Genomic DNA, 19,887 nt, shown 5'->3' with positions numbered 1-19,887 from the left:
GCAGATCACCTGAGGTCAGGAGTTTGAGACCAGCCTGGCCAGCATGGTGAAACCCTATCCCTGAGGCTTCAGTGAGCCATGATTGCTCACTGCACTCCAGTCTCTGCAACAGAGCAAGACCCTGTCTCAGAAATAGAAAAAATGAATTATCTTTATCTTCCAGCCATTTAATTGCTGTATAATGTAACTAATGATAAGAATTTTACTAGCGATTACTAAAAAGTAGGCAGTAGGGTAAAATTTTTTTTGCAACAGTGTCTTGCTCTGTTGCCCAGGCCGGAGTGCAGTGGAGCAATCTCAGCTCACTGCAACTTCCTCCACCTCCCGGGTTCAAGCAATTCTCCTGCTTCAGCCTCCCGAGTAGCTGGGATTAGAGGCGTGCGCCACCATGCCTGGCTTATTTTTGTATTTTTAGTAGAGATGGGGTTTCACCATGTTGGCCAGGCTGGTCTCAAACTCCTGACCTCAGATGATCTGCCCACCTTGGCCTCCCAAAGTGTTGGGATTACAGGCATGAACCACCATGCCTGGCCAGCAGTAGGGTAAATTTTATGGTATGTGAGTTGTATCTCAATAAAGCTGTTACTAAAAACAAGTAGGCAATGAATAGGTTGAATCTTCTTTGCATTTCATATGAATATGAAGCTTATAAATGGACTTCTCATTATATTTAACTGTGAAGTGTTATTCACAATCTTAATTTCAGGAAAAGACTCATGTATTTTGTGTCTTGATGCCCAGGTCACATTCACTAAATGTCTATATGCACAATTGGTGCAACAAAGGTTTGTGCCAGACCGGCGGAGTGGATACAGGCTGCCTCCTCCATCTGATCCCCAGTACCGAGCCCATGAATTGGGCATGAAATTGGTAATGTTGAACCAGAAAATGTTGTTTCCTTTCTTTATGTAAATGGACTCTTAATAGAATAGTGGCACAATATACAAAGTCCAGAAATACACCCTGTTTATGTAAGAATGCAGTAAAATGTGGCATTTCAAATTAGAATGAAAAAAATGGATTACTTAGTAAGTGATGATGGGACAAGTCTGAAGTCATCTGAAAAATTGAAGTTGATTCCCTAATACCTATACCAAAATAAATTCCAATTGGATCAAATATTTGAACATAAAAATTGAAACTATACAATTTGAAAAAAAACCAAGAACCTTTTATAATTTGAATAGGAAAGGCCTTTCTATGCATGACTTGAAACCAGAAGCTATAAAGGGAAGACTGATGAATTTGATTATGCAAAAATTAAGCATTTCTGCACGGGAAAGAAAAACTCCATAAATAAAGTCAAAAGCAAATCTGGAAAAAGTGTTATATTTGCAATCTAAATGAAAAAGAGCTGACTTCTCTAATACATAAAGTGTTCCTTTAAGTCAATATGAAAATGATAATACTAGCCAATTAATTTTAAAATGTTCAGAACTATGAACATAGTCCACAGAAAAGGAAATACAGGTGACCTTTAATTTAAACATATGAAAAATATTGAATCTTAACTCATAATAAAAGAAATGCACTTTAAAGCTACAAAATAGTGTTTTTCTTTTTTTTTTGTTTGCTTTCAAAAATGTTACAATCTAGACATTGATAGGAATGTCTAGATTTTCTTTTTTTTTTTATTATTATGCTTTAAGTTTTAGGGTACATGTGCACAACGTGCAGGTTTGTTACATACGTATACACGCGCCATGTTGGTGTGCTGCACCCATTAACTCGTCATTTATATTAGATATATCTCCTAATGCTGTCCCTCCCCCCTCCCCCCACCCCACAACAGGCCCCGGTGTGTGATGTTCGCCTTCCTGTGTCCGTGTGTTCTCATTGTTCAATTCCCCACCTATGAGTGAGAACATGCGGTGTTTGGTTTTTTGTCCTTGCAATAGTTTGCTGAGAGTGATGGTTTCCAGCTTCATCCATGTCCCTACAAAGGACATGAACTCATCATTTTTTATGGCTGCATAGTATTCCATGGTGTATATGTGCCACATTTTCTTAATCCAGTCTATCATTGTTGGACATTTGGGTTGGTTCCAAGTCTTTGCTATTGTGAATAGTGCCACAGTGAACATACGTGTGCATGTGTCTTTATAGCAGCATGATTTATAATCCTTTGGGCATATACCCAGTAATGGGATGGCTGGGTCAAATGGTATTTCTAGTTCTAGATCCCTGAGGAATCGCCACACTGACTTCCACAATGGTTGAACTAGTTTACAGTCCCACCAACAGTGTAAAAGTGTTCCTATTTCTCCACATCCTCTCCAGCACCTGTTGTTCTCTGACTTTTTAATGATCGCCATTCTAACTGGTGTGAGATTACCATCTCATTGTGGTTTTGATTTGCATTTCTCTGATGGCGAGTGATGATGAGCATTTTTTCATGTGTCTTTTGGCTGCATAAATGTCTTCTTTTGAGAAGTGTCTGTTCATGTCCTTTGCCCACTTGTTGATGGGGTTGTTTGTTTTTTTCTTGTAAATTTGTTTAAGTTCTTTGTAGATTCTGGATATTAGCCCTTTGTTAGATAAGTAGATTGCAAAAATTTTCTCCCATTCTGTAGGTTGCCTGTTCACCCTGATGGTAGTTTCTTTTGCTGTGCAGAAGCTCTTGAGTTTAATTAGATCCCATTTGTCAATTTTGGCTTTTGTTGCCATTGCTTTTGGTGTTTTAGACATGAAGTCCTTGCCCATGCCTATGTCCTGAATGGTACTGCCTAGGTTTTCTTCTAGGGTTTTTATGGTTTTAGGTCTAACATTTAAGTCTTCAATCCATCTTGAATTAATTTTTGTATAAGGTATAAGGAAGGGATCCAGTTTCAGCTTTCTACATATGGCTAGCCAGTTTTCCCAGCACCATTTATTAAATAGGGAATCGTTTCCCCATTTCTTGTTTTTGTCAGGTTTGTCAAAGACCAGATAGTTGTAGATATGTGGCATTATTTCTGAGGGCTCTGTTCTGTTCCATTAGTCTATATCTCTGTTTTGGTACCAGTACCTTGCTGTTTTGGTTACTGTAGCCTTGCAGTATAGTTTGAAGTCAGGTAGCATGATGCCTCCAGCTTTGTTCTTTTGGCTTAGGATTGACTTGGCAATGCAGGCTCTTTTTTTGTTCTATATGAACTTTAAAGTAGTTTTTTTCCAATTCTGTGAAGAAAGTCATTGGTAGCTTGATGGGGATGGCATTGAATCTATAAATTACCTTGGGCAGAATGGCCATTTTTACGATATTGATTCTTCCTCAAAATAGTGTTTTTCATCATTTATTAGCAAGTATCAAACGGCTTGATAATACATACTGGGTTGTTGAGAATATATACAGAAAAACATTCTCAGACATTGTTGATAGGAATATAAATTGATTGTATCCCTTAGGAGAACATTTTGGCAAAACAGATGTTCCTTGACTTACAGTGGGGTAACTTCCTGATAAACCTGTCAAAAATTGAAAATATCATAAGTCAAAAATATATTTAATACAGCTAACCAACCAAACATCATAGCTTAGCCTAGCCTACCTTAAATGGGCTCAGAATACTTACATTAGCATACAGTTGGGCAAAATCATCTAACACAAAGGCTATTTTATAATAAACTGTTGAATATGTCATGTAATTTATTGAATACAGTATACTATAGAGTACAGTATTGGTTGATTGCCTTTGTGATCACATTGCCAACTGCAGCTTGCTGCCACTGTGTATCCAGCATCATGAGACAGTATGCATATTGCTAGCCTGCAAAAAGATAAAAATTGTAAGTAAGGTTTCTACTGAATGCATATTGCTTTCACACCATCATAAAGTCAAAAAATGTTAAGTCAAACCATCATAAGTTGGGGACCATCTGTATTCATCAACATTTAAAATGCACAAACCTTTTTAGTCAGCATTTTCACTTCTAGAAAATGATTCTTTATGTATTTTACCTATATACAAGGACATATATGGAGCATAGTCATGACAGCATTGTTCATAGTAGCAGGAGACTGGAAACTACTTAAATGTCCATTAGTAGGGGAATAGTTAGATAAATTGTGCTCTAGCCATGAAGTAAGATGGATGAATTTGTGTGTGCTCATGTAAGTGATCTCCAAGGTATATGGTTAAGTGTAAAAAGCAAGGTGTAGAGTAGTGTGTATGCGTCCATTGAGCAACAAAAGGGGTGGAGTAGAAAGCTATGCATACAGAGAGGCACACACATAATACTTCAGTGTGTAGGTTACTTCTGAAAGGATGTGCAAGAAGTTGGTAATGGTGTTCTCTAGCTTGATCAGGGAAGCTCCCTGTTTGAATTATTTAGCCATGTGCATCTATTATTTTTTTTAATCAAAGGACTTTTAAAATGAAGTGATTTCCTCTCTTTACTATGTCTGAGATCATGTTCAATATATGTATAATTTCTGTTGGACAAGAAACCTTTTGTAACCCTGTTCATAATCAAACAAAAAATAAATGTAAATTTCTGGTTTTGTAATCAGCAGGAAAAGGAATCTCTTTGAAGAGAACAGGAATCTTTATTGTATATTATTTTCTTTCCTTTTATGTTTTTAGTAATCTATAATGATTGAGAAACTTGGGAATAAGTTTATATTTTTCATAAAATTCAAAAAGTGTTATAATTGTCCAAATGCCCATGTATCCAGTCATCTAGTTCTAGAGTGTGGCTCAATGGAAAAAAAGTAATGTGTTATAATAAGATACGGGAAAAAAGGAACTTAGTAACAAAAATTCTACCTATCTCATCTAGGCTCATGGATTTGAGATCTTATGCTCCAAATGTAGCCCACATTTTTCTGACTGCAAGAAATCCCTTGTGACTGCCTCACCACTCTGGGCCAGTTTCCTTGAAAGTCTGAAAAAGAATGATTACTTTAAGGTAGGACTTGCAATATATTTGCTTTTAAGTATTCAATCCAGGGAAAATCAAGCCAGCGACTTAAAGTCCTATAGTCCATATTTAAATGTATGACATAATTATGGAAGCTAGACTTAAAGGAGACCTTTCTAGTTCAGTGGTACTCAGGTGCTAATGAAGGAGGTATCTATGAACTGTTTCCAGTATTAGAGAAAAACTAACACTGTTGGTATTAAATGATGAAAGTGATTATCTGTACCAGATAAAACAACTTGCAAAAACTTGATAATGCAAACATGAAAACACCAGATAGGAAAATTAGCAAAGATGTGGATTTTAAAAATTATTAAAAGATACCTAGTAAATTTCTCTTAAAATATTCAACTTCACAAGTAGTAAAGATATATATATATATATATGAACACAGTAATGAAGAATGTCTTTCATGTATGTACAAAAGGATATGAATGATATTCTGTGCTGTCGAGAGTATGGTAAAAATAACACTCCTATACCTTGCTGGTAACATTGCAAACTGGTAGAATCTTAACTGGAAAGTAATTTGGTAGTGTCTTCCAAGAGGTATAGAAAGGTTCAAACTTGGAACCTTCACTTTGAATAATCTTTTTAAAGGAAATATCCAAGAAGTGGAAAAGTCCCGAAGAATATGATGATGATAAAGATGGCACAGCAATACGAAAAGTACTAATGATATTATAGTATATATATGGTATTTTTTTTTTTTTGAGATGGAGTTTTGCTCTTGTCGCCTAGGCTGGAGTGCAATGGCACAATCTTGGCTCACTACAACCTCTACCTCCTAGGTTCAAGCGATTCTCCTCAGCCTCAGCCTCCTGAGTAACTGGGATTACAGGCCCACACTACCACACCCAGCCGATTTTTGTATTTTTAGTAGAAATGGGGTTTCACCATGTTGGCCAGGCTGGTCTCGGACTCCTGACCTCAGGTGATCCATCCGCCTTGGCCTCCCAAAGTGCTGGGATTACAGGCGTGAGCCACCGTGCCCAGCTATTACTGTTGTTGTTATTGTTGTTGTATAGGGTCTTGCTTTGTCACGCAAGCCAGTGTTGTGGTAGGATCATAGCTCACTGCAGCCTCGATCTCCTAGGCTCAAGTGATCCTCCTGCCTCAGCCTTTCAAATAGCTGAGACTAGGCATGTGCCACCATTGCCTGGCTAAAGATTGTTTTTTTTTCTTTTTAGTAGAGTCGAAGTCTTGCTATGTTGCCCAGGCTGGTCTCAAACTCATGTCCTCAAGTGACCCTCCCACCTCTGCTTCCCAAAGTACTGAGATTATAGGCATGAGCCACAGTGCCCAGCTAGTATATTCTTAAAAAATGTAAAATACTAAGTATGACTATCACTATAAATATGCATTTAGAAAACACAAATGATAGTAATGGTGGGATTTTGCCATTTTTTATTCTACTTGGCAAACTTTCTGTACTTTGTTTTGTGAATTACTAGTTAATCAGCTATATCTTTAATTTAATTTTTTTTTTCATAGAGGCAGGGTCTCACCATGTTGCCCAGGCTGGTCCTGAACTCCTGAGCTCAAGCAGTCTGCCCATCTCATCCTCCCAAAGTGTTGGGATTATAGGCGTGAGCCATCGCACCCAGCCAATTATATCTTAATAAGTAATTAAGTAAAAGAAAATGGTGGAAAACTTTCCAAACTGGAAATAGGCCCTTAATGGTGGAAAAGATTAGGAATCACTACATCTAGCCGCGTCCCCTCATTTGAAGAAACTGGAGCTCAAACAGGCCCATTAATGATAAAACAGGGCCTAGGACTTGGGGCACGTGATTCCTGAGTAGTAGATTATTTGCTGCCTCCCTGAAAGTTGCTGGTGAACACATTTTTTTCATGACAACTTGTGAGTAATGTTCTGATAGACCTTTTTTTTTTTTTAAGGGACTGATAGAAGGTTCTGCTCAGTACCGGGAAAGGCTAGAAATGGCAGAGAATTACTTCCAGCTCTCAGTAGACTGGCCAGAAAGGTGAGTTATTGTTAAGACTCCTACTACAAAGATTGGTATTTAGGTAGTTCTTTTTATTTTTTATTTATTATTTATTATTCTTATTTATTTATTTTTTTGAGACGGAGTCTCACTCTGTCACCCAGGCTGGCAACCTCCGCCTCCTGGGCTCAAGCGATCACACCACTGCACTCCAGCCTGGATGACAGAGTGAGACTCTGCCTCAAAAAAGAAAAAAAAAACAACGAAAGAAATTTTGCATCCTCCTCTATGTAATTTTACTCATCATGATATCACATTTTCCATGGCATTATGAAGTCTTTATAAACATAATTTTTAAAAGCTGCACAATATGGCCAGGCGCGGTGGCTCACGCCTGTAATCCCAGCACTTTGGGAGGCCGAGGCAGGCGGATCACGAGGTCAAAAGATCAAGACCATCCTGGTCAACATGGTGAAACCCCGTATCTACTAAAAATACAAAAATTAGCTGGGCATGATGGTGCGTGCCTGTAGTCCCAGCTACTAGGGAGGCTGAGGCAGGAGAATCGCTTGAACTCAGGAGGCGGAGGTTGCCGTGAGCTGAGATTGCACCTGGGGACAGAGCGAGACTCCATCTCAAAAAAAAAAAAAAAAAAAAGCTGCACAATATTTCAGCAAATGGATGTACCCCCATAATTTACTCAACTATTTTTTACTGTTGGGGAAAAAATTACAAGTAGCTTAAATGTCCAACATTTTAATTTATGTTGCAGGAGAGGCTCCCATTCTGCACACCAGGATAATTTTTAAACAGTTTAAAACCAAACTTCCATCTCCCTCCAGACCTGTTGTTGAATTCCCAAAGTTTGTGGTTTTTTTAAAATAGCTGAATTAATATCGTAGACTTTTATTTTAGATTTACCTTTCATTTTCACTTTTTTTCATTTATTGTTATTATTATTTATTTATTTATTTTAGACAGAGACTCGCTTAGTCACCCAGGCTGGAGTGCAGTGCTCTGCCTCCCGGGTTCAAGTGATTCTTCTGCCTCAGCCTCCCAAGTAGCTAGGACTATAGGCATGCACCACCAGGTCTGGCTAATTTTTGTATTTTTAGTAGAGATGGGGTTTCACCATGTTGGCCAGACTGGTCTCAAACTCCTGACCTCAGGTGATCCACCCACCTTGGCCTCCCAAAGTGCTGAGATTACAGGCGTGAGCCAATGCACCCAGCCATTAATTTTTTATTTTTAATTATTGTGGATACATACTAGTTGTACATATTTATGGGGTACATGTGATTACATGTATAATGTCCATGTGGCATACAATGTATAATGATCAAATCAGGGTAATTAAGCTTTCCATCACCTCAAGCATTTATCATTTCTTTGTGTTGGGAATATTTTTAGTTATTCCATTTTTTTAAGGTATTTGGAACTATATAATAAATTATTATTAACTGTAGTCACCCTGTTGTGCTACCAAACACTAGCTCTTTTTAATTTTTTAAAAAATATTTTTTGGGATTTGCCAGGAAGATGTTACTAAAAAGCATTCCAGATCCAGACCCCAAGAGAGGGGTCTTGGATCTCATGCAAGAAAGAATTTTGGGCAAGTCCATAGAGTAAAGTGAAAGTATGTTTATTAAGAAAGTAAAGGAATAAAGAATGGCTACTCCATAGGCAGAGCAGCAAACACTAGCTCTTATTCCTTCTATTTAACTAATTTTTGTAACCATTAACTATCCCCTCTTTTCCCCCCGCTCTCTGCTACCCTTCCCAGCCTCTGGTAACCATCATTCTACTTTTATTATTATTATTATTTGAGATAGAGTCTCACTCTGTTGCCTAGACTGGAGTGCAGTGGTACAGTCATAGCTCATTGCAATCTTGACCTCCTGGGTTTAAGAGATCCCCCTACCTTGGCTTCTCAAAGTTCTGGGATTACAAGTGTGAGCCACTGCACCCAGCCAGCCATTATTCTGCTCTCTGTCTCTCAGTTTAGAATTGTTTTTAGCTCCTACGTATAATATCATAGACTTTCCCCTAATTTATCAGAGATTGTAATAGTGAAAAATTATAAGCAACCAAAGTATCCATCAATAATGGATAAATGAATTGCAGTGTACTTATATGATAGCCTGCTATCTAGTAGTTAACCAGAGATGAACTATATTTACATATATCTGATTTAGGATTTTTCAACCTCAGTGCTACTGACATTTTGGATCTGATAATTTATTGTGAGGGACTGGCTTGCACTTCATAGGACATTTAACAGCATCCCTGGCCTCTATCCAGTAAATATCAATAGCACTTCTCCCTCATCCCCCAATCATGACAACCAAAAATGTCTCCAGACATTGCCAGAGGTACCTGGGCGGCAAAATCGTCCCTGGTTGGGAACCACTGATCTAAATGGGAACCACTGATCTAAATGAATAGATTTCAAAAACATAATGCAGTGAAAAAAAAAAAAAAAGCAAGTTATAAATACGTACAGTAATGGGTACCAAAAAAAAAAAAAAATAGAACGAATGAGTAAGACCTACTATTTGATAGTACAACAGGGTGACTATAGTCAATGATAACTTAATTATACATTTAACATAGAGTGTAATTGGATTGTTTGTAACTCGAAGGATAAATGCTTGAGAGGATGGATACCCCATTCTCCATGATGTACTTATTTCACATTACATGCCTGTATCAAAACATCTCATATACCCTATAAATATATACACCTACTATGTACCCACAAAAATTAAAAATGAAAATGAAAAAGAATAAAATATATACCGTGTGGATGTTACACATATAAAAATTTTAAATATACAAAATACTATACAGGCTGGGCGCAGTGGCTCACACCTGTAATGCCAGCATTTTGGGAGGCCAAGGCGGGTGGATCACGAGGTCAGGAGTTCAAGACCAGCCTGGCCAATATGGGAAACCCTGTCTCTACTAAAAATTCAAAAATTAGCTGGGCGTGTTGGCACGCCCCTGTAATCCCAGCTGCTCGGGAGGCTGAGGCAGGAGAATCGCATGAACCCTGGAGGTGGAGGTTGCAGTGAGCCGACATCGCACCACTGCACTCCAGCCTAGGTGACAGAGCAAGACTCCGTCTCAAAACAAAACAATACATTATTTATAGATACATATATATTCATTTATTCAACAAATATTTATTGAATGCCTCCTATGTGCCAGGCCCTATTCCAGGTACTGGGGATATAATAAATGAACCCAAAGTGTCCTTGTCCTTATAGAGCTTACATGCTAATGTAGGAGAAAGACCGCAAGCCATTATGTAATATTAGGGGGTGGTAAGTGCTATGAAGAAAAAGCAGTGTGTGGGGTAGAGGGGTAGAGACTGCTCTTCTAGATAGATTAGTCAAGGAAGGCCTTTCTAAGGAAGTTTTCTTTGAAAAGAGACCTGAATGAAGTGAAGGAGTGAGACATTCAGTTATTTAGGGGAATAACATTCCAGCAAAAGGACAGACAGCAAATACAAGAAATAGAAACAGAAATATATATACATACAGAGAGAGAGAAAAGTGCCGAAGTATACTTGAGAAAGCAGTCACCTCTGGGGAGCAAGACAATGGATTGGGATGGGTGGCAGTGGTCATCAAAGGAAACATTAGCTTTCTCTACAATTTTTTTTTTTTTTTTTTTTTTTGAGATGGAGTCTCTCTCTGTCACCAGGCTGGAGTGTAGTGGCACGATCTCAGCTCACCGCAGCCTCCACCTCCCGGGTTCAAGCGATGCCCCTGCCTCAGCCTCCTGAGTAGCTGGGACTACAGGCGCGTGCCATCATACCTGGCTAATCTTTTCGTATTTTAGCACAGACAGGGTTTCACCATGTTGGCCAGGATGGTCTCGATCTCCTGACCTGTGATCTGCCCTCCTCAGCCTCCCAAAGTGCTGGGATTACATCTCTACAATATTTTTAAGGTACATGATAAACCTATACACTTTTTTGTCAATTAAAAATAAACAAATAGGCCGGGCACAGTGGCTCACACCTGTAATCCCAGCACTTTGGGAGACCGAGATGGGTGAATCACCTGAGGTCAGGAGTTTGAGACCAACCTGGCCAACATGGTGAAACCCCATCTCTACTACAAATACAAAAAATTAGCCGGATGAGGTGGTGGGCACCTGTAATCCCAGCTACTCAAATTAAAAATAAATAAATAGCCAGGCACAGTGGCTAATGCCTGTAATCCCAGCTACTTGCTGAGATAGGAAGATTGCTTGATCCCAAGAGTCAAGGCTGCAGTGAGCTGTGATCATGCCACGCACTCTAGCCTAGGCGACAGAGTGAGACCCTGTCTTAGAAAAAGAAAAAAAAGAAACTATGCACAGAGATACTTATGTGTTGAGTGAGTGACATAATGGTGACATGATTTGTTACATAAATTGATGGCACCCTGTCTGAACTATTAAGAATGGATCAAATCAAGTTGTATAAAGGACTTGCTTTAATTGGATAAACATTTGCATACCTTGCAAAATCACGTAGGTGATGGGGAACTGTCTCTACTCTGTATTATTAATATGTAAACGTTACTAGGAGAGAGAATAAACCAAATAATCATAACAAAAGGCAAAATAAAAATCATTCTGGAATATCAAATGCTAAAGAGAGTCATAGTGAGAAGGTAATAAACTTTCACTAAGGTTGAAGCAGAGATGTTAAAAAAAGAAAGATAATGGAAGGCTTCAGGGAGGAGGTATTTGAGTTAAGTCTTAAAGAATGAGGATTTTTTTTCTTTTTATGGAGTCTCTTTTTTTTTTGAGACGGAGTCTTGCTCTGTGCCCAGGTTGGAGGTGCAGTGGCGCGATCCTGGCTTACTGCAAGCTCCACCTCCTGGGTTCACGCCATTCATCTGCCTCAGCCTCCTGAGTACCTGGGACAACAGGTACCCACCACCACGCCCAGCTAATTTTTTTTTTTTTTTTTTTTTTTAGTAGAGACGGGGTTTCACTGTGTTAGCCAGGATGGTCTCGATCTCCTGACCTCGTGATCCGCCCGCCTTGGCCTCCCAAAGTGCTGGGATTACAGGCGTGAGCCACCGCACCCGGCCAACGGAGTCTCGCTCTTGTCGCCCAGCCTGGAGTGCAATGGCACAATCCTGGCTCACTGCAACCTCCGCCTCCTGGGTAATACAGACTTTGCAAAAGTTAAAGAACTTCCCTGGGTTCTGGTTTTCTCATCTGTAAAACAGGATTATTACCTTCTATAATAGTAACAAAAGGACTCAATAAGAAAATGTATTTAAAGTGTTAGCATAGCATTTAATACATGCTAGATAAATTTTAATTGATGCTTTCCTTCTGGATCTTCTTTTCCTCGTATATAAAATATATATTATATGTATATTTTTATGTATTTTTAGTACGTGTTTTATATGTATATGTACTATTAACATAATACAACTGTATGTACATATATATACATATATAGAGAGAGACCCTGTCTCTGCATGTATGTATAGAAAGAATTATACGAGATCAGTGGCTTCATAATGATGTTCCATGGAGCCTGCTTCAGAGCCAAAAAGGAAGGCCAATTGTGTAGATCTCTGAGCTTCTATCCTCCAATTTATTTATTTTTATTTTATTTTATTTTATTTATTTATTGAGATGGAGTCTTGCTCAGTCGCCCATGCTGGGGCAGCTCACTGCAACCTCCACCTCCCGGGTTCAAGCAATTCTCCTGCCTCAGCCTCCCGAGTAGCTGGGATTACAGGCACGTGCCACAATGCCCAGCTAATTTTTGTATTTTTAGTAGAGACGGGGTTTCACCATGTTGGCCAAGTGAACTCCTGACCTCAAGTGATCTCCCCGCCTTGGCCTCCCAAAGTGCTGGGATTACAGGCATGAGCCACTGTGCCTGGCCTATCCTCCACTTTAATGAAGGCCATTTTTCTTTGACCCCTTCTGTATTTTAGAGTTCCTGGTAAAAGTTTTGTTTGAGAAAAAGGGATCTGCAACCTAAAAATATGCTTAAAAACAAATTAGAAGGCTGGGTGCGGTGGCTCATGTCTGTAATCCCAGCACTTTGGGAGGCCAAGGCAGGGGGATTATGAGGTCAGGAGTTCGAGACCAACCTGGCCAATATGGTGAAACCCCATCTTTACTAAAAATACAAAAATTAGCTGGGTGTGGTGGCGCATGCCTGTAGTCTCAGCTACTTGGGAGGTTGAGGCAGGAGAATCTCTTCAACCTGGGAGGCGGAGGTTGTGGTGAGCCGAGGTCGCGCCACTGCACACCAGCCTGGGCGACAGAGTGAAACTCTGTTAAAAACAAACAAACAAATTAGAGCCAGGTGTTTTGGCATGTACTTGTAGTGCTGGCTACTTGGGAGGATGAAGTGGGAGGATCATTTGAACCCAGGAGTTCGAGTCCATTCTGGGCAACAATGAAACCCCATCTCTTAAAAAAAAAAAAAAAAAACACTCCCCAAATTAGACTAGCTAATCCCTTCCAACCTTAAAATACTATGTATTTATGATTACTATTCTATGTTCTCTTATGAAGAAATACTCATGTTTTTTATTTTTCATAGTTCTCTTGCTATGAGCCCTGGTGAAGAAATCTTAACCTTATTACAGACAATACCATTTGATATAGAAGACCTTAAGAAAGAAGCAGCTAATCTTCCCCCAGAGGATGGTAAGTGATGGACCAGGATACAGTGGAAGGGTTAAAAAAAAAAAATTAAAATGTTCTACTCAGTCTCACAGGATCCTCTCCTAAGAGGACTTATGTGAATGTAGAATGGCAGTATTATGCTTTCTTCTTTTTCAGATGACCAGTGGTTAGATCTCTCACCAGATCAGCTGGACCAGCTGCTGCAGGAAGCTGTTGGCAAAAAAGAATCCGAGTCTGTTTCCAAGGAGGAGAAGGAGCAGAACTATGACTTAACTGAAGTCTCAGAGAGCATGAAAGCTTTCATATCCAAAGTCTCAACCCACAAGGGAGCAGAGCTGCCTCGGTAATTTGTGTTAAAGTATAAATATATAAATAGCTAGAACCCAAATGTTGAAGTCATAGTCATTGCCATTTCCACTTTTTTTTTTTTTTTTTGAGTAAATGAGTTGTACTGCTTGCTTTCTTTTTTGTGCCTAGTATAGTGATAACTTACTTATTTGAAGTCAGATTTCTAGAAGCCTCATCCTTTGCAATCCTTGAAATAAGCCAGAAAGATCACCCTAAAAACCATCATCCAGAACCACACAGGGAAACCATATACTTTACTCTTTAGTAGCTTTATGGGCTCAACATTTAACTTTCAACAAGTTCAGACCTCTGATCTCCCACCCTGCAAGCAGATTGGATACTGAAAAAGGAATTCATCAGAGGCAGAAATAATAACAGAAATATGAAACTACATTTGGCAAATAACAGGAAAAACAGGTAGATAGAATTATTACTTGTAGGCTGGGCGCGGTGGCTCATGCCTGTAATCCCAGTACTTTGGGAGACCGAGGCAGGCAGATCACGAAGTCAGGAGTTCAAAACCAGCCTGGCCAGCATGGTGAAACCCTATCTCTACTAAAAATACAAAAATTAGCCGGGTATGGTGGCGCACGCCTATAATCCCAGCTACTTGAAAGGCTGAGGCAGGAGAATCGCTTGACCCCGGAAGGCAGAGGTTGCAGTGAGCTGGGATCGTGCCACTGCACCGCAGCCTGGGTGACAGAGCAAGACTCCGTCTCAAAAAAAAAACAAAACAAAAAAAACTGTTACTTGTGTATCAAATATATCATTATTAGTGTTGATGCTCTTGAACCTGATGAAAGATATAAATTTATATTTGGTATTCTCTCTTTAAGAAAGCAGGGATAAGGGAAGATATGTTCTTGTTTATTTTTTAAGCTTTAGTTCTTAAAAGAACAGGCTTTATTTAAATTAACTCAAATAAATAATGGTTTTGCTAATGCTAGATATCTTATTGGGGCTAGAGAGTGGGTAGGTCCCTAAATCAGCATAAGCTAAATGTACATAAACAAGATGCAATTTTTACTTTTCATTTATCAGACTTTCCCATTTCTGTTGTCCTGCAAGGCCAGTAAACTCAAGGATTTTTAAAACTTAAACTACAACTTTTCTTGCTGTGCCTCCTTAGAAATTCTATCTTTGGTAGCTTTCCTAAGAATGGCACCACTTTAGAAAAGTTTCAAAGAGTTGTATTTAGAATAAATTAATTGTCTTTGTCCTTTAATATTGCAGAGAACCTTCTGAGGCTCCAATCACTTTTGATGCAGATTCTTTTCTTAATTATTTTGATAAGATTTTAGGTAAGTAGTGGTGTGATGTTGACTTTCATTTTGAAACTGTTAGTAGTATGGCTGTTGCTAGAGCATTGGTTTATGAGATATCTCAGAAGCCAAAATGTTTGCTTTCTCTTCCTGGTTTGAGTTGCTTTCAACCATGAATTACTACCCATGAATAATTTTGTAGAGGCTGCCTAGCTTAGTGTTTGACATATATAGTAGCTGCTCATTAATTTTTTTTTTTTTTTTTTGAGACAGTGTCTCGCTCTGTTGCCCAGGCTGGAGTGCAGTGGCACGATCTCGGCTCACTGCAAGCTCCGCCTCCTGGGTTCATGCCATTCTTCTGCCTCAGCCTCCTGAGTAACTGGGACTACAGGCGCCTGCCACCACACCCAGCTAATTTTTTTGTATTTTTAGTAGAGACGGGGTTTCACCGTGTTAGCCAGGATGGTCTCGATCTCCTGACCTCATGATCCGCCCATCTCAGCCTACCAAAGTGCTGGGATTACAGGCGTGAGCCACCGTGCCCGGCCTCATTAAATATTTGAGAGTGACTGAATGCTGTGTGTTTAAATAGGGTTTTACCTTGGCTCCCATATTATATTGTTCTTTTTTGGAATTACTGTACTTACAAATCAGTAATAAAAAGATAACTCAAAAAATAATTATAATATGTATATATGTACAGAACTGCAGAGAGAAAGATTGGGATACCCGGAAACTGCTAAAAGATGCTTACCTCTGGGGAGAGAGTGAGATTGGAGACAATACTTGTATGGCTTGAATGTTTACATCAAAATGTATTCATTTATTAGGTATTTTTAAAAATTTTTTAAGAAAAATATTTTAATTAATTGAATTCACTTTTTTTTAAGCTAAATCTTTTGATTCAGCTTGTACGCTTTTCCACAACATTAAATGCACACATATCTGCCAGCATTACCATTTGTAGAAGGGATTTTTGTGAAGTAGACTGACTGTGTGTATTAGTCTTTTTCTGTGGGTAACATTCTAATTATTTTGAGATGTGTAGTAACTAAATAATAATAATAATAATAATAATAATAATAATTACTAAGTGGCTCTTTCTTTCTTGGGATCTGTGTAGGGCCAAGGCCTAATGAGTCAGATTCTGATGATCTGGATGATGAAGACTTTGAATGTTTAGATAGTGATGATGACTTGGACTTTGAAACACACGAACCTGGCGAAGAGGCTTCCCTGAAAGGAACACTTGATAATCTCAAGTCATACATGGCCCAGATGGACCAGGAACTAGCACACACCTGCATCAGCAAAAGTTTCACCACTAGGAACCAAGTGGTATGTGTGTTTTTAACCTCTTTCTCTTTCTGAGTCTAGTATGTCAGATAGCTAAAACCATATTTTATCATAGTTTTTCTTTTTTTGGTGTGTGAGATTTGAAATAAATAAGAATGTTAATTGTTTTCCTAACTCTGGTAGGATAAAGGATCATAGACTTAATTTTCCAAAACATAAGCTTCATTATATTACTTATTCTACGTTATCTATCAGGATTTAAAATAAAAAGTCATATAATATGCTCAAATTAGAATGCGATTGTACACTACTACTTCTTAAATACATTTTTTTTCAAAAGTAGTTTAAAAAAACTACAGCTTAAATGGATTTTAAAAAAGAGAGGGCACATGTTCTCAAGACCTTTTGAGACTATGCCTTGGGCCACAGTGGATTAAAACAAAATAACATAAGTAAATAAACAGGATCTTAAACATTCAAATAACTTTCCAGTTTTAACAGTTTATTTTGTATTTTTCCCTAATTTAGAGCCAAATTTAGGATTCACCTTCCGTTTATGTTTTCATCCTAGTTTTTAATGCCACCACTGTCTAATCCTAAACAGAGGTATTATGGAAAGAGCAAGAACCCTGGAGTCTTATGGGTTAGGGTTTGAAGTCTAGCTCAGCTGTCCACTGTGAATGTATCTATAAACCAGTAATCCTCATATCATAAAATTAACATGAGAACCAAATTAGACAGCAGTAAAACCTACAATAGGCCTTTAATTAATGTTAATTCTCCTTGCTTTGATCATCTAAACCACTTTTAAAACTATAGTCACTTCCAGAATTGTCAAAATCTAGTAGAAACCATACATTAGATTTATCTAAAGCAGTATTTCTTAAATTTTAATGCGAATATAAACCAAAAGATCATGTTACAACATAGATTCTGATTAAGTAGGCCTGGGATGAAGCTTGAGATTTTCCTTTTTTTTATTATTATTTTGTTTTATTTTATTATTATTATTATTATTTTATTTGAGATGGAAGTCTCCCTCTGTCACCCAGGCTGGAGTACAGTGGCACGATCTTGGCTCACTGCACCCTCTGCCTCCTGGGTTTAAGCAATTCTCCTGCCTCAGCCTCCCAAGTAGCTGGGACTACAGGTGCGCACCACCGTGCCTGGCTAATTTTTGTATATTTAGTAGAGACAGGGTTTCACCATGTTGGCCAGGCTAGTCTCTGGAGCTCCTGACCTCAAGTGATCCACCCACCTCAGCCTCCCAAAGTGCTGGGATTACAGGCATGAGCGACCACTCCCAGCTGAGTTTTTCCATTTCTAATAAGCCCCAAGCGATGGAGACTCTGCTGCTCCATGGACAATGCTTTGGGTAGCAAGGACATAAAAGTCTATCGAGCTGTAATCTTTCAAATCCTTTCCCCAGCTTGTGGAATCAGAGGCCCAACTAACAATTTAGAATCTTTGTGGTTGGAACCACAAAGCCTTGTGTTTTTACTTTTAAGCTTTTTCACTGGGGGGAAAGAAAGGAACACTCGCTTCTTTCATTTTGAAGAAAATTTACATTATTATTTCATTTAATATTCACTTTTATGTTTGTTTCTTTTAAGACTCTTAGACAAGTTATAAATGTACCTTCTTAATTCTATTAGCCCTTGAGCTATTTCAAAATAGACATGCAATTTATTCGATTTGCAGGAATCTTTCCTGGAGAGAAATGTGTTATAACCTTTAGAACCAAGTTTTATTATGTGTGCTAGGCCATATAACTTGTAGACTTCATTTTCAGTTTATATCACCAAGGATAAGAAGTTTCCTTTTTAATTTGGAATGCAAATTTACATTGTGGCTTAGTTATCTTTTTATTGTAACCACCATGCAACCTAATGATACATTAGCCCATAATTTTCTTTTCCCTCTATGAATAAGGAACCTGTATCCCAGACTACCGATAACAATTCAGATGAGGAAGATTCTGGTACGGGAGAATCTGTTATGGCACCAGTAGATGTAGACCTGAACCTGGTTTCAAATATATTGGAATCCTATAGCTCCCAAGCTGGACTGGCAGGACCTGCTTCCAATCTTTTACAAAGCATGGGAGTGCAGCTGCCTGACAACACCGATCACAGACCAACAAGTAAGCCAACAAAAAATTAACCAGCACATTTAGCTTCTCTTTTTTCTTTTTAAATAAATATTGAATATGATTCTGTTCATTTCTAGTTTAGATTACTCATTTAGTAAAAATGTTTCTTCATTACAAGTTTTACAGATTGACTTCTCCATGAGCCCCAAATGTGGCCCTCTTGGCACAAGTCTTTGTGATCTCAGCTGTGGGTTATACACAGGTTTTGAACTCGGCAGGGTAGAATCTAGCCCCTAGACAACCTTGAGATGAAATTCACACACTTCATGCTAAAGACATACCCTACCACAATATACCCTTGGAGTAATTCTAAATATTTAAATTTCTCCCTTACTGCTATTCATCCTCAGATCAAAATTTCAAGTTGACAAATTTGGATTTGAAAACTCATTCACTTTTTCAATTTTTTTAATGAGGCATAACATGCATATGGTTAAGTGCACAAATCTTAAGTGTACAGTCAGTGAATTTTTGCATGTATGTATGTACCTGAAGCAAGATATAGAACTTATTTACTTGTAAATAACAGCTATATTGATATGTCACATACCAAAAAATTTACCCTTTAAATTATACAATTCAGTGGTTTTTAGTATATTTACAAAATTGTGCAACCATCCCTACCATCTAATTCTAGAATATTAGAAACCCCATACTCACTAATAGTCTCTCATTCCCTTCTACTCCCAGCCCCTAGAAACCACTAGTCTACTTTCTGTCTCTATGGATTTGCCTATTTTGGATATTTCATACCTGATACTGTACTTAATTGTTTTAATTAATTAATTGGTTTGATATTTAATATAACTGATATATCTTTTGCTAAGATGAAATGTTTATTTCTTAAAATGATGCTCATATTCCTCCTAAAATAAATCAAGTATTATCTATATATCATAAAATTCACCATTAAAAGCAAAAAAAAAGTCTTCTTTACAGACAGCTCCATATACTGACCATGTTTTTATAATCTAGGTCTCTGGATTCTTCTTTATTATTGTATGCAGCAGAGAGATGCCTTTACTATATCTTACCCTATCCAAGTAAAAACAATGGAAATAGTTTCATACTGTTCCCTCTCCAGTGACCAAGGGAGGAATTAGGAGAATGGTGTAGTAGAGTTCTCATCTGAGAACTTACTATCACGAACTAATAAAAACTGAATATGGCCGGGCATGGTGGTGGGCGCCTATAATCCCAGCTACTTGGGAGGCTGAGGCAGGAGAATAGCTTGAACCCGGGAGCCGGAGGTTGCAGTGAGCCAAGATTGCGCCATTGCGCTCCAGCCTGAGCGACAAGAGCGAAACTCCGTCTCAAA

The 19,887-nt window shown here is 38.4% G+C and overlaps 1 protein-coding gene and 1 long non-coding RNA gene across 5 annotated transcripts in view; one reads left to right on the top strand and one right to left on the bottom strand.

Moving 5' to 3' along the window:
* Positions 1-19,495, top strand: part of ECD (ecdysoneless cell cycle regulator) — a 34,428-nt gene extending 14,933 nt beyond the window's left edge. The window contains exons 7-15 of one of the 4 annotated variants that reach the window (NM_001135752.1): positions 742-870; positions 4,759-4,887; positions 6,802-6,887; positions 11,678-11,776; positions 13,426-13,532; positions 13,668-13,854; positions 15,093-15,160; positions 16,245-16,459; positions 18,350-18,639. In NM_001135752.1, the coding sequence (NP_001129224.1) occupies positions 742-870; positions 4,759-4,887; positions 6,802-6,887; positions 11,678-11,776; positions 13,426-13,532; positions 13,668-13,854; positions 15,093-15,160; positions 16,245-16,459; positions 18,350-18,580 (1,251 nt within the window). In that variant the 3' untranslated portion in view covers positions 18,581-18,639. Of the gene's footprint in view, positions 1-741; positions 871-4,758; positions 4,888-6,801; positions 6,888-11,677; positions 11,777-13,425; positions 13,533-13,667; positions 13,855-15,092; positions 15,161-16,244; positions 16,460-18,349 lie in introns of all 4 variants that reach the window. The other 3 variants (NR_024203.1, NM_007265.3, NM_001135753.1) reach the window with 3 other exon arrangements.
* LOC124902452 (uncharacterized) lies at positions 1,458-4,693 on the bottom strand. The gene is made up of 2 exons (XR_007062194.1): positions 3,552-4,693; positions 1,458-3,444 (listed from the first exon to the last, which is right to left on the bottom strand). It is a non-coding gene; the product is annotated as an uncharacterized LOC124902452 (long non-coding RNA).
* Positions 19,496-19,887: the final 392 nt, after the last annotated feature.

The sequence above is a fragment of the Homo sapiens genome, chromosome 10, assembly GCF_000001405.40.
Source record: "Homo sapiens chromosome 10, GRCh38.p14 Primary Assembly".
NCBI lineage: Eukaryota > Metazoa > Chordata > Mammalia > Primates > Hominidae > Homo > Homo sapiens.
This window is presented reverse-complemented; position numbering and strand designations above follow the sequence as displayed.